Below are 14893 nucleotides of genomic sequence, written 5' to 3'. Positions count from 1 at the left end.
AGCAAACTAACGCAAGAACAGAAAACTAAATACTGCCTATTCTCAATTACAAGTGGAAGATCAATGGTGAGAACTCATGGACCCAAGGAGACAAACAACAGATACTGGAGCCTATCAGAGGGTGGAGGGTGCGGAGGGAGAGTATCAGGAAAAATAACTAGTGGGTACTAGGCTTAATACCTGGGTGCTGAAATAATCTGTACAACAACCTCCCATGACACAAGTTTGCCTATGAAACAAACCTCCGCATGTCCTCCTGACCTTAAAATAAAAGTTAAATTTAAAAAATACAAATTGGAAAGAAAACATAATGTGATAGATTGCTTCACAACCATAGGATTTCCGGAAGAAATATGAATTGGAAGCATCAGTGTCTAAATGCAGTTAAGAAACTCATGCTATCAGAATCATCTCTTGGTTGTTTTCCCTCCCAGATTGTCTTTTCTCCCAGGGACTCACTGACAGTGAACAGCGATCATGCCTAGATTTACCCTGTATCTGCCCTCAAAGCTGACGTGGAGTCAAATGCCACAAATAGACTTGATCATGCAACCTTGATTCTCTTTCTGAAAAATGTAATTAGTAACCCTCCTGTCTATCATATATTTACAGAAATACTGATTAGCCTTGGTGTAAAGCTTCTAATAAACAGTAGGCATTGTTAGAAATTTAATTCATTCATAGGGTTTTTTGAGCCTAGCGATACATTTGCTGCACTGACACATAATTTATCATTTTAGAACTCTTGGTTCATGCTTTTTAATATTTGAGACATGGATATCCTTTAGCTCTGTGAGTGATACTGAGGAAGGAAAGGGCAGGATGTGCATCATGAAGAAAAACTATGATCAATTTAAAACAGGCTATCAGGGAAAACTTCACTGAGATGAATGCGTGGACAGGCCGCCCAGTTATCAAAACAATTATTGAAGAAATCATTTCTATTGTTCTAAGAGGTAATGTGTGCCTCAGCTCTTCCATCCACTCAGTTTTTACCAAATCTTTTTTTTTTTTTTTTTTGTTCTAGGCCCACCCTCTTCCCGGATCAACAGGGTCCAAGAGCAGGAAAGTGGAATTGAATACCTGGACTAAGACCAAAGAATGCCGCAGTGCGAGTTGGGGGGGATAAATTCCAGGTATTTCTTCTCACTTCCAAATGTAACTGAATCTCTTTTATCTGGAAATACAACCTGAGATCATAGGAAAGAGGAATCAGGCCAAAGCCACTTTTTGGCATTGGTACGTCAGAAATACCATAGGCACAGCTTTTCCACAGGGTGGTATTTCTTGTTTGGACATCTTGCTGATCCACTGAAAACATGCATTTGTGAGAAATGCATGGGAACCATTTCTTTTTTATAAATAAGGAAATACTTTAGTAGAGGGTTAGTATTGGATTCTTACTTTGTGTATTTTCTTTTAGCAATAACACCTTTTTCCTTTCTTTGCTATGTTAGGAGAGAAAGAAGACTCCTGTTTATTGTACAAACACAGTTGCTTTTACATTTCAGTGTGCTGCTCTTAGAAAACAAACCAGAAAGCCACACATATTATTTCTACATGGTTTCCTACCCTGTGGGAAATCAGTGTTTTGAAACTTCAGCATATTATGCATAAATAAACATACCTCATTGGTCTCACATATTTTGGATAAATGATTTAATAAGAGAGTAAAGCAACAGACGAAAGCTTTGCCTCTAAAAGATTGTTCCGTTATAAGCTATTTCCCTTTGCTAAGATACTGTTTTAACAAAATATTTCTCATTTAAATTCTGGACACGCGGGTATTTTAGGTTTTGAGCTGTTGCTCTAGTCGGTCTGCGCCTGCAGATGGCAGCGCTCCTTCATCGTTGCAGCGATGTGGATTGAAATGCACTGGAGCGTCAATGGAAGGTGAATTTATGAAGTGAAATCAAACTTCAGAAATCTATTTTCAGGTATATTCTTCTAGTTTTATGAAACCATAAGCTTATGTTGTTTAAAATGCTGTTATAAATAGAAGTGAACCTCAGCCACCAGCCTGAAGGCTGTCCTTTCTGCTCTTGGGTGTGGAAGATGTCTCATGGGAGTGCATCGTCTCTTCTCAGTATGTGAAAAACAAAGTGGCCGGGCGCGGTGGCTCACACCTGTAATCCCAGCACTTTGGGAGGCCGAGGTGGGCGGATCATGAGGTCAGGAGTTTGAGACCAGCCTGGCCAATAAGGTGAAACTCCCTCTCTACTAAAAATAGAAAAATTAGCCGGGCGTGGTGGCGGGCACCTGTAGTCCGAGCTATTCAGGAGGCTGAGGCAGGAGAATCGCTTGGACCTGGGAGGTAGAGGTTGCAGTGAGCGGAGATCACACCACTGCACTCCAGCCTGGGTGACAGAGCAAGATTCTGTCTCAAAAAAAAAAAAAAGAAAAGAAAAGAAAAACAAAGTGACTGACCCACTGAGAAACATGTTCTCAGACCTCAGTTCCAGAAAATTATGAATGGCTAAGCATTACTGTAGAGTAAATCTGTTTCATTTTTCCACAGGTTGGTCTGTAGATCACATTAGGGAAAGGCTGGGCAATTCTGTCTTTATAAAATCCACACTTTCATGAGTGCCATAATAATTCTACGGACACCTTCAGTGGGGCTTGTTAGAACACTGCTGCTGATGCTCCCTAGACTTCTTTTTCAAAGAACCATTGGTTTAATCAAGAAAACAGAAATCCTTGACTGGAGAGATTTATTAAGCATTTAACATTTTTTTTTTTATAAAAAGCACTTAACTTCATTTTAAGGAGTCAAAAATACAAGAGTTGTGGAGTAGAATTTCTGTAAATTAAGTAACCAACTGGAGCTCATGAGCCTGTGCTAGATTAGCTGGGAGTAAGAGTAACTGATCATAGTTGGTGTGTGATGACACTGGGCCAGCCGCTGTGCTGAGGTGTTTGGTTGTTTTAACTCACATAAATCTACATAGCAACCCTACTATTTTCTTTCAGTTCTATGATGCTTAGTTTTTCATATTTTAACAGTTCTAAAATTAGGATATGTTCTAAAATAGATGACTTCTGACAATCCCTATCCATGAGGCAGAAACTGAGGTACTATTTGTTTGTTTGCTTTTGTTTATTATTATTATTATTATATTATTATTTCAATAGGTATTGGGGGAACAAGCGGTGTTTGGTTACATGGATAAGTTCTTTAGTGGTGATTTCCGAGATTTTGGTGCCCTCATCACCTGAGCAGTGTACACTGTACCCGGTGTGTACTCCTTAATCCCTCACCCCTCTCCCACCGTTTCCCTCAAGTCCTCAAAGTCCATTGTATCACTAGTATGCCTTTGTGTCCTGATAGCTTAGCTCCCACTTATGAGTGAGAACATACGATGTTTCCTTTCCCATTCCTGAGTTACTTCACCCAGAATAATGGTCTCCAATTCCGTCCAGGTTGTTGCGAATGCCATTATTTTGTTTCTTTTTATGGCTGAGTAGTATTCCATGATATATACACACCATATTTTCTTTATCCAGTTGTTGACTGATGGGCATTTGGGCTGGTTCCATATTTTTGCAATGTGAATTCTGCTGCTATAAACATGTGTGTACAAGTACCTTTTTTTGTATAATGGCTTCTTTCCTCTGGGTACATACCCAATAGTGGGATTGCTGGAAGAAATGGTAGATCTACTTTTAGTGCTTGAAGGAATCTCCATACTGTTTTCCATAGTGGCTGTACTAGTTTACATTCCCAGCAGCAGCGTAGAAGTGTTCCCCTTTCACCATATCCATACCAACATTTATTACTTTTTTATTTTTTGATTAAGGCCATTCTTGCAGAAGTAAGGTGGTATCTCATTGTGGTTTTGATTTGTATTTCCCTGATAATTAGAGACGTTGAGCTTTTTTTTTTTTTGAGACAGAGTCTCACTCTGTCGCCCAGGCTGGAGTGCAGTGGCGCGATCTCGGCTCACTGCAAGCTCCGCCTCCCGGGGTTCCCGCCATTCTCCTGCCTCAGCCTCCCGAGTAGCTGGGACTACAGGCGCCCGCCACCACGCCCGGCTAATTTTTTGTGTTTTTAGTAGAGACGGGGTTTCACCGTGTTAGCCAGGATGGTCTCGATCTCCTGACCTCGTGATCTGCCCGCCTCGGCCTCCCAAAGTGCTGGGTTTACAGGCCTGAGCCACCACGTGCAGCCGAGATGTTGAGGATTTTGTATATGTTTGTTAGCCAATTGTACATCCTGTTTTGAGAATTGCCTGTTCATGTCCTTAGCCCACTTTTTGATGAGGTATTAGTCCTTTATCAGAAGTATAGTTTGCAAATATTTTCTCCCACTTCGTGGGTTGTTTGTTTACTCTGCTGATTATTTACTTTGCTGTGTAGAAGCTTTTTAGTTTAAGTGCCATTTATTCATCCTTGTTTTTGTTGCATTTGCTTTTGGGTTTTTGGTGATGAAGTCTTTGCCCATGACAATGTTTAGAAGGGTTTTCCGATATTAGCTTCTCAAATTTTTATGGTTTCACATCTTAGATTTAGGTATTTAATCCATGTTGAGTTGATATTTGTATACGGTGAGAGATGAGGATCCAGTTTCATTCTACATGTGGCTGCCAATTATCCCAGCACCATTTGTTGACTAGTGTGTCCTTTCCCCGCTGTATGTTTTTGTTTGCTTTGTCAAAGATCAGTTGTTGTATTTGGCTTTATTTCAGGGTTTTCTGTTCTGTTCCATTGGTCTATGTGCCTATTTTTATACCGGTACCATGCTTTTTGCTGACTATGGCCTTATAGTACTCTTGGAAGTCAGGTAGTGTGATGCCTCCAGATTTGTTCTTTTTGCTTAGTCTTGCTTTGACTATGTGGGCTCTTTTTTCATTCCACATTAATTTTAGGATTGTTTTTCTAGCTCTGTGAAGAATGATGGTTGTATTTTGATGGGAATTGCATTGAATTTGTAGATTGCTTTTGGCAGTATGATCATTTTCACAATATTGATTCTACCCATCCATGAGCATGGGATGTGTTTCTATTTGTTTGTGTCATCTGTGATTTCTTTCAACAATGTTTTGTAGTTTTCCTTGTAGAGGTTTGTCACCTTCTTGGTTAGATATATTTCTGCATTTTTATTTTTATTTTTTGCAGCTATTGTAAAAGGAGTTGAGTTTTTTTATTTGTTTTGGTATATAACAGTGCTACTGATTTGTGTGTATTAATTTTGTATCTTGAAACTTTTCTGAATTCATTTGTCAGTTCTAGGAGCTTTTAGGAGGAGTGTTTAGGGTTTTCTAGGTATACAATCATTTTATCAGTGAACAACAACACAGCAACAGTTTGACTTCGTCTTCACTAATTTGGATGCCCTTTATTTCCTTCTCTTGTCTGATTGCTCTGGCTAGGACTTTCATTACTACATTGAATAAAAGTTGAGAAAGTGGGCATCCTTGTCTTGTTCCGTTTCTCAAGGGGAATGCTTCCAACTTTTCACTGTTCAGTATAATATTGGCTGTGTGTTTGTCATAGATGGATTTTATTATCTTGAGGTATGTCCTTTCTATGCCAATTTTGCTGAGGGATTTATTCATAAAGGGATGCCGGATTTTGTCAAATGCTTTTTTTGTATCCATTGAAATGATAATTTGATTTTTATTTTTAATTTTGTTTATGTGATGTATCACATTTATTGACTTTTGTATATTAAACCATCCCAATATCCCTCATATGAAACCCACTTGATCATGGTGGATTATCTTTTTGATATGCTGTTGGATTCAGTTAACTAGCATTTGGTTGAGGGTTTTTGAATCTCTGTTCATTAGGGATATTGGTCTGTAGTTCTCTTTTTTGTTATGTCACTCTTGGTTTTGGTGTTAGGGTGATACTGGTTTCACAGAACGATTTAGGGAGGATTCCCTCCTTTTCAATCTTTTGGAATAGTGTCAATAGGATTGGTACCAACTCTTCTATGAATGCCTGATACAATTCAGCTATAAATCCGTCTGGTCCTGGACTTTTTTTTCCTTCATAATTTTTTTTATTACCATTTTAATCTTGCTGCTTGTTATTGGTCTGTTCGGAGTTTCTATTCCTTCCTGGTTTAATCTAGGAGGGTTGCATATTTCCAGGAATTTTTCCTTCTTCTCTAGTTTTTCTCATTTGTATGCATAAAAGTGTTCATAGTACCCTTAAATGATCATCCAGCCTTAAATGATTTCTGTGGTATTGTTTGTAATATCTCCTATTTTCTTTCTAATTGAGCTTACGTGGATCTTCTCTCTTTTTTTCTTGGTTAATCTCACCAATGGTCTATCAATTTTGTTCATCTTTTCAAAGAATCAGCCTTTCATTTTATTTATCTTTTGTATTTTTTGTTTGTTTGTTTTAATTTTCTTTAGTTCTGCTCTGATCTTTGTTATTTTTTTCTTCTGCTGGGTTTGGGTTTGGTTCATTATTTCTCTAGTTTCTTGAGGTGTGACCTATGATTGTTTATTTGTGCTCTTTTGAGCTTTTTGATGAAGGCTCTTAATGCTTTGAACTTTCCTCTTAGCACTCCTTTTTCCATATCCCAGAAGTTTTGATAGGTTGTTATCTCTATTATCATTCAGTCCAAAGAAATGTTTAATTTTCATCTTGATTTCATTGTTGACCCAATGACCATGTGGGAGCAGATTATTTAATTTGTATGTATTTATATGGTTTTGATGGTTCGTTTTGGAGTTGATTTCCAATTTTATTCCACTGTGGTCTGAGAGAGTAATTTTGATTTTCTTAAATTTATTGAGACTTGTTTTGTGGCCTATTATGTGTTTTGTCTTGGAAAATGGATGAGTACTGTGTATATTCTGCAGTTGTTGAGTAGAATGTTCTCTAAATATCTGTTAAGTTCATTTGTTCTAGGGTATAGTTTAAGTCCATTGTTTCGTTGTTGATGACTTTCTGTCTTGATGACCTGTCTAGTGCTGTCAGTGGAGTATTGAAGTCCCCAACTATTATTGTGTTGCTGTTTATCTCATTTCTTAGGTGTAGTAGTAATTGTTTTATAAATTTGGAAGCTCCAGTGTAAGGTGCATATATATTTAGGATTGTGATATTGTGATATTTTCCTGTTGGACAAGGCTTTTTATCATTATATAATGTCCCTGTTTGTCTTTTGAAGTGCTATTGCTTTAAAGTTTGTTTTGTCTGATGTAAGAATAGCTATTCCTGCTCGCTTTTGGTGTCCATTTGCATGGAATATCTTTTTCCACCCATTTACCTTAAGTTTATGTGAGTCCTTATGTGTTAGTTGATTCTCTTGAATACAGCAGATATTTGGTTGGTGAATTCTTATCTGTTCTGCAATTCTGTTTTTTTTGTTGTTGTTGTTAAATGGAGCATTTTTAAGTGGAGCATTTAGGCCATTTACATTAAACATTAGTATCGAGATGTGAGATACTATTCTATTCATCGTGCTAGTTGTTGCCTCAATATCGTGCTTATTTTTCATTGTATTACTGTTTTATAGGTCCTTTTAGATTTATGCTTTAGGGAGGTTCTATTTTGGTGTATTTTGAGAATTTGTTTCAAGATTTAGAGCTCCTTTTAGCAGTTCTTGTAGTGCTGGCTTAGTAGTGGCAAATTGTCTCAGCATTTGTTTGTCTGAAAAAGACTATCTTTTTTTATTTATAAAGTTTCGTTTCACTAGATACAAAACTCTTGGCTGGTAATTGTTTTGTTTATGGAGGCTGAAGATAGGCACCAGTTCCTACTAGCTTGTAGGGTTTCTGCTGAGAAATCTGCTGTTAATCTGATAGGTTTTCCTTTATAAGATACCTGATGCTTTTGTCTCACAGCTCTTAAGATTCTTTCCTTGGTCTTGACTTTGGATAACCTGATGACGATGTGCCTAGGTGATGATCTTTTTGTCATGAATTTCCTGGGTGTTCTTTGAGCTTCTTGGATTTGAATGTCTACATCTCTAGCAAGGCTGAGAGGTTTTCCTCAATTATTCCTTCAAACATGTTTTCCAAATTTGCAGATTTCTCTTCTTCCTTGGGAACACCAATTATTTTTAAGTTTAGTTGTTTAACATAATCCCAAACTTCTTGGAGGCTTTGTTCATTTTCTTTTTATTTATCTTTTTCAGATTGGGTTAGCTTGAAAACCTTGTCTTCAAGCTCTGAAGTCTTTCTTCTACTTGTTCAAGAGTTTACAGTGCATTTTGCATTTCTCCAAGTGTGTTCTTCATTTACAGAAGTTGTGATTGTTTTTATGCTGTCTATTTCACTGGAGATATTTCCATTCATATCGTGTCTCATTTTTTTGATTTCTTGAAGCTGGACTTCACCTTTCTCTGGTGCCTCCTTCATTAGCTTAATAATCAACCTTCTGAATTCTTTTTCTCACAATTCAGAGATTTTGTCTGAGTTTGGATCCATTGCTGGTATGATCTAATGGAGGAGTTAAAGAATCTTGTTTTGTCATATTACCAGAACTGTTTTTCTGGTTTCTTCTTATTTAGGTAGACTATGTCAGAGGGAAGATCTGGGGCTCAAGGGCAGCTGATCAGATTCTTTTGTCCCCCAGGGTGCGCTCTTGATATGGAGCTCTCTCCTTTTCCCCTAGGGATGGGGCTTCCTGAGAGCCAAACTGCAGTGATTGTTATTTCTCTTCTGGGTTTAACTACCCAGCAGAGCTGCCAGGCTCCAGGCTGGTTCTGGAGGTTGTCTGCAAAGAGTTCTGTGATGTGACCTGTCTTCAGGTTTCTCAGCCATGGATACCAGCACCTGCTCCAGTGGAGGTAGCGAGGAAGCAAAGTGGACTCTGTGAGGGCCATTGGCTGTAGTTTTGTCTAGTGTGCTGGAATTTTGTCGGCTTGGATACTAGCACCTGCTCCAGTGGAGGTAGCAAGGAAGCAAAGTGGACTCTGTGAGGGCCGGTGGCTGTAGTTTTGTCTAGTGTGCTGGTTTTTGTCGTCCGGGCCTCAGACTAGGAGCGGGCACTTTCCAGACAGCATCAGCTGAAGTAGGAGGGGGAGGATACCAGCTTGCCCTAAGCTTGTCTGGATAAGTATTCAGGTTTTTCAGGTGGTGGGCAGGGCCATACAGCTCCCAAGAGATTATGTTCTTTGTCTTGTCTCCAGCTACGAGGGTGGGAAGAGAAAGACCATCAGCTGCGGGGTACAGGTAGACATGTCTGAGTCAGAATCTCCCTGGGCAGTGCTTGCTGTGGCTGCTGTGGGAGTTGGGGTATAGTTCTCAGGCCAGTGGAGTTATGTTCCGAGGGGGATTATGGCTGCCTCTGCTGCTTTGTACAGGTCCCCAGGGAAGTGGGGGAAAGCTGCCAGTGACAGGCCTCACCCAGCTCCCATGCAGCCTGCGAGGCCAGTCTCCTTCCCACCATGCCCCGCCAACAGCACTGCGTTTATTTCCAGGCAGCCGGGGAGCAGGGCTAAGAACTTGTCCCAGGCTACCAGCCCCTTCCCTGAGAAAGCAAGCAGGGCTTCCGTGTTTCCGGCCTCCCCGCCTGCCACAGCTTCTGTGCTGGGATCTGCACTCCTGGCTCCCCCCATCACCAGATTCTGTCCAGGAAATTTCAAGTTGCTCAAAATTGTTACAAAGTTTATCTGGGAGTTTCCTTCTCCCTGTGGTCTTTCCCCAATTCCACTATCAGCCCTCCCCAAAGATCCCTGCGAGACAGAGTCAGAACGGCTTCCCTGGGGACTGAGGGTGTCCACGGGCTCTTCCCGCTGCCTCCTCTACTCCTATGTTTCGCTTGGGTCTCTACATTCATCTCAGCTCCAGGTAAGGTCTGATCCTTTTTTCGTGATCTGGACCTTCAGATTCCTCAGTGAGGTTGTGTGTTCAGGGCGGACATTCCCGCCTCACACTTTGGGCACTCACAGTTTTGCGGTGGTCTCACAGCCCTCAAAGGCAAGCTGCTACTTTCAAAGGCTCTGAGGATTCTCTCGGCTTTCCTGATATGTTTGTGTGGCAGTTCTTGGAGCAAAAGTTTTTGATGTGAGTCTCCACACGCTGCTCTGTCCATCCAAGTGGGAGCTGCAAGTTAATCCTGCCTCCTTCTCACCATTTTCCTCACGCTGATACCGCACGTGGTTTCCTTTATAGTTTTGTCTAGAGACAGGGTCTTGCTGTGTCGTCCAGGCTGGAGTGCAGTGATGCCATCATAGCTCACTGCAGTGTTGAATTCCCGAGCTCAAGCAACCCCCTCACTCCAGCCTCTTGAATGGCTGGAACTACAAGTGCATATCACCTTGCCTAGCTAAGTCTTTTTTTGCAGAGACAGAATCTCACTATGTTGCCCATTCTTGTTTTGAACTCCTGACCTCAAGCAACTCTCCTGCTTCAGCCTCCCAAAGTGTTGGGATTACAGGCGTGAGCCACGGTGCTTGGTCTTTGGAGATGTATTTATCACCCGCACATGTGAAGACATAAAAATCATCAGCCTCCAAATGGGCCGAACAGATGTGGTGAACTAGGAGGACATCCCAGGGACACTCTTGAAATTACTTTTAACCCTTAGGAGCCGCAGAGTTGGTTGGTAGCAGGAGCGGTGGAGAGGCAGGCATGCTCAGCCGCATCCCTTAAAGCAGTGTCAAATGTGGGCTGATTGTATGCAGCCAGCTTGAGAGCCCAGCACCAGTGCCTTTCAGGGGGTTCATATGTTTCTACCGAGAAATGCTGTTCTACCCACACTGTGCATAGCACGATGGGTGACTCTGTAAGGAAGAGGCTAGACACGGCCAAATCTGAATCAAGAGCTGATTTAGAAGAGTTGGAATCTGCATATAAAGAAGTCCTAGAAATATCTAAACCAATTTATCTTGCTTAATTTTTTTATATTCACATGGCAGTGGTATATGATTAAGAAGATCTCTGTATAATTAATTTTTTCAATAGGCACACAGAATAGAAATTCGTGCCATCAAGAGAGCTTTGTGTCGTATTGTCATTGTCTGTGGTTTTCCTTTTCAGTGGTATTTAAAATTGTGTCTTATAATTGAGAGCTTTCTAGATGTGACAGCAACAGTATCATTACCCCTGTTTTATATGGATGAGGAAGTTTTGCCACAGCAAGTAGCAGGACCAGGATGTAGGCTCAGTCTGCATCTAGAATGTGATATCTTTATACTCTACTGTTTCTCTGGTGAGGTGATTACAAAAAAAGCTAGAACAGTTTTTATTACACCGTTTGTATTAAAGTTACTACCAGAAAAAAATTTTCAAAATTCCATTCTTCCCTTTCCTGAATTCCTACCTCAGACTATACTAGGTACATCTGCCTCCATAAAAGAGGCTAAGAAAGAAAAGTCTGGCCAAGTGTGGTGGCTCATGCCTGTAATCCTAACACTTTGGGAGGCCGAGGCGGGTGATTACCTGAGGTCAGGAGTTCAAGACCAGCCTGGCCAACATGGTGAAACCCCGTCTCTACTAAAAATACAAAAAATTAGCTGGGTGCAGTGGCACGTGCTTGTAATCCCAGCTACTCTGGAGGCTGAGGCAGGAGAATCGCTTGAACCCGGAAGGTGGAGGTTGCAGTGAGCCGAGATTACGCCTCTGCACTCCAGCCTGGTGACAGAGCGAGACTTTGTCTCAAAAAAAAAAAAAAAAAAAAAGGAAAAGTCTTTCTTTTCTCCACAGTTTCCCAGTTAATTTTCTTCTTCAAGCTCCCTGAAGTAAGTTCAGTCAGAAGGTACGAGTTACAACAGAAGATGAAGACACCCCATTTTTGCTTCAGGACCAAGTCGTCCTCATATCCAGAACTTCTGTTACTCAAACGGGTGCTGTGTTTGAATCCTCTCCGGCTCCTGTGCAGAAGCACCGTGTGAGACTGCCCAGGTTGTGTCTGCTCTTAATCGGTTCCACTCTCCTATCTGTTTTTAATCAGTTCAGAATCCACAGGGGAATGTTGGTGAAGAATTAATTCCCTCGAGTCTTCCAATATATTTGCCTTTCTAAGCCTATGAAATAGATTTCATTGTATGTTCATTAAAAATTCACATGAGGAGAAAAATGAAACATCTTTCATAGTATATTATTCTTATGAAATAGGACTTACAGAAACCATGATAAAATTAAAACTGTGCTTTGAGATCTTTATAGCATATATATGTTGAATATCAAAAATCATGCCACTTTTTGGATCTTCAAAAGCAGACATAAAATCAAGTTTGTAGCTATACAATATTTTTCACTTGAATATAATACAAAAGTGTGATTTTACACAGGTATATGGTTTGAAGAAAGAAGCATAGAAATTACACGTTTTATACTTATCAAGTATATTCCATTAGAATAATCTAAAACCCAACAATTTTCTTTTCAGGAAATGACCTTACACCTAAATTTTAGAAAAAGATGCCTATAACTGGTGTTTTTCACATTTGAGTATCACCTTTCTCTTTTATCTTTCAAAAATAATTTGGGTAATGCGATATTCTGGTTTCCTTGTTTTAAAATGATTTTTATTCAGCCCAAGAACTACGGGTAACAGGTTTTGTAGAAATGCTTACTATGCGATAAACAGTGCTGTCACGGCTGCTGGTTGAAATTAAGGGAAAGGGTACACATGCGTAGGAAGGTCGGCTGAATGACGTGCATCGGTGCAGCTGGGAGCTGGCAACAGGGCCTTTGGCCTGGGACAGGGAGTCCTGTGGTTCACGCACGTGGCCCGTTACTTGGCTCCATTATTCTCAGGTATGGCTCACAGTTTATTCATAGAGAGTAATATGTTTTTATTACTCTGAATTATATATCTGTCATTTATTAAATGCCATTTATTAATAATAGATGCATAATTCATACTAAGAGAAAATAATTTTCTTCCACTATTTTAAAAATACATTTCAGGATGAAATGGTGCCAGTGCAGTCTTTGTTCATTTTTATTCTGCTTTAATCTCGGAAAGCACTTCATATACCTATACAAAAATAAACATTAAACACAGAACATCATATGAGAAATGCAACTATAGAAAAAACTGCATGAGTAAATAAGTGGAAAACTTCTGCTAGGCAATATATACATTTGATGAGGTCTATAAACCATTAAATACAAGTGAATTATTAACAAAAAGTCAGGGTCTTTCTTAAAGGGCCACAAAGATAGCAACTCTTGATAAAAATTAAATGTGACAGTTGCTCGATCAATATTCTTATTTATGACAGGAAAACAACTTTCTTAATTGCTATTTCTACAACTATCTTTTTAAAAATATTGCACACATTTTGCAATGTAACTGAAATTGCACATAAGGAAAATGTGATATATTTACTCCTAAAAAAGCCTGACTCTATTCATCAAAGATGTAAAGCAAGTTTATCATGAAAGGATGTGACGTTTCAACAGTGCAGAACCACCCTGGGATCTGTAAAGGAAAATTGGCATCATCACGTGTTCTCGTACTTGTTGGTCCATCATACAGATGACACAGTTTGGGGTTTAACCAGGATCCCACCTTCAGTAACCTCTCCTTGTATCCAGGGATGTGATGGAGGAGCAAAACTCTTACGAGCACACATTTATGTTGCAGCCTTGTGACTTTCTCACTTAGGATGGATGTGGCTGTTGATCACCAAGTGGTTTGTAAAATATCTGGCTCAGATAGAGAGTATGATAAAATATTTGGCTCACATAGAGAGTGTGATAAAATACTCTTTAAATATCCATTGTTATCCATCTGTTTGCATTTCAGTCCAATAAATGCTTCTGTGATTTCAGGATGGATATCCAGTTCTGGTTTCTCAATCTTATCCCTCCTCTAATAAATTTGGATCCAAATTTGACAGGTTGACATGTTTGCACTTCTAGCAGCAGTTTCGTTATCTTACTAGAGATGTATGTCCACATATGAAAAAGAATTTGCATTTTTACTAAATAACGAGAAGGATATGTATGGATGGTTTCTGTTCCTTTTCTGATAAAAAAAGAGGGATTAATTATCTAATGGCCCAAGGGCCAGAGTTCTATAACTCATCATTATTTAGTACTTTACATTATGCTTCAGGGAATATCTGGAGAACCTGTGGATCTGATTAAGAAGACAGTGTCATATAAGAATATTGATAAGCAACACTTTTACAATACCAAACATTAACTTTTCTTATCACTGAGTCTTCCTGGAAGATTGTGAAGACTTGATATTCTTTCCAAGAGTTTCAACTGTCCTGAAAAGTTTATCTTAGGGGAACGGGTTCTGAGCAAGAGGTGCAGTTGCCATTACTCTTGCATAGAAAGCACTTTAGACAAAGTCATTCTTAAGACCCGGTTTGAAAGTAAATAAGATTCAAGTAAATATGAGCCGAATGCTTCTGTCAACAGTACTAATAATGTTTTGAATATTTTATCATTACTTTCTCCCAAATGCCAAAACCAGGGCTTCCTTGTGTATGGTTTATAATAGAGGAACTCCTAGGATCTTATTTGAGTACATAAGCACTTGTTTTTATTATGTCTCACTTTCTATCTCTTTTCTGTTATTAGCTGATAGCAGACATCATGTACTTTGGATCACACTCATTGTTACTATCATCAATGCATCATTGGAAGTGTGAAAGCAGACAATGCTGAAGGCAGTCTGAACTTTCCTGTAGGGCTTTAGTTCATATTAACTGCCTGCAGTTGTCATTCTATTCAGAATCATACAAACCGCAATGGAATTGATTCAGAAATACCTGGGATCTGGAAGTTTCTTTGAGCTTTGCATGACTGAGCTTTTGCTCCCCCATTTGTTTCATTAATGTAACAGTTTCTCCCAAGAGGCTGACAGTAGACTTTTCCAAAAATATTACTATACATTTTTTTAACCAAAAAAGCTCACAGTTCATTTCTTCTACCATTGATATCCAAATGCAAATATTTTATAATCTGGTAAAGTGACATGTCCTTTAATCACTGAAGGGAATTCCCAGATTCTCAGAAAC

General features: G+C 39.5%; 1 long non-coding RNA gene across 2 annotated transcripts in view; it reads left to right on the top strand.

Annotated features, from left to right (window-relative positions):
* Window positions 1–14893, top strand: part of LOC105377613 (uncharacterized) — a 29140-nt gene continuing 14247 nt past the window's right edge. Inside the window, exons 1-4 of one of the 2 annotated variants that reach the window (XR_939633.2) lie at window positions 1–66; window positions 1028–1136; window positions 1794–1937; window positions 11613–11958. This is a non-coding gene — a long non-coding RNA (uncharacterized LOC105377613). Of the gene's footprint in view, window positions 67–1027; window positions 1137–1793; window positions 1938–11612; window positions 11959–14893 lie in introns of those variants that run through there. The other variant, XR_001741964.1, reaches the window with a different exon arrangement.

This window comes from Homo sapiens, chromosome 4 (assembly GCF_000001405.40).
Source record: "Homo sapiens chromosome 4, GRCh38.p14 Primary Assembly".
Taxonomy (NCBI): Eukaryota; Metazoa; Chordata; class Mammalia; order Primates; family Hominidae; genus Homo; species Homo sapiens.
Note: the sequence above shows the minus strand (reverse complement) of the source record. Positions and strands in the feature narration are given on the sequence as shown.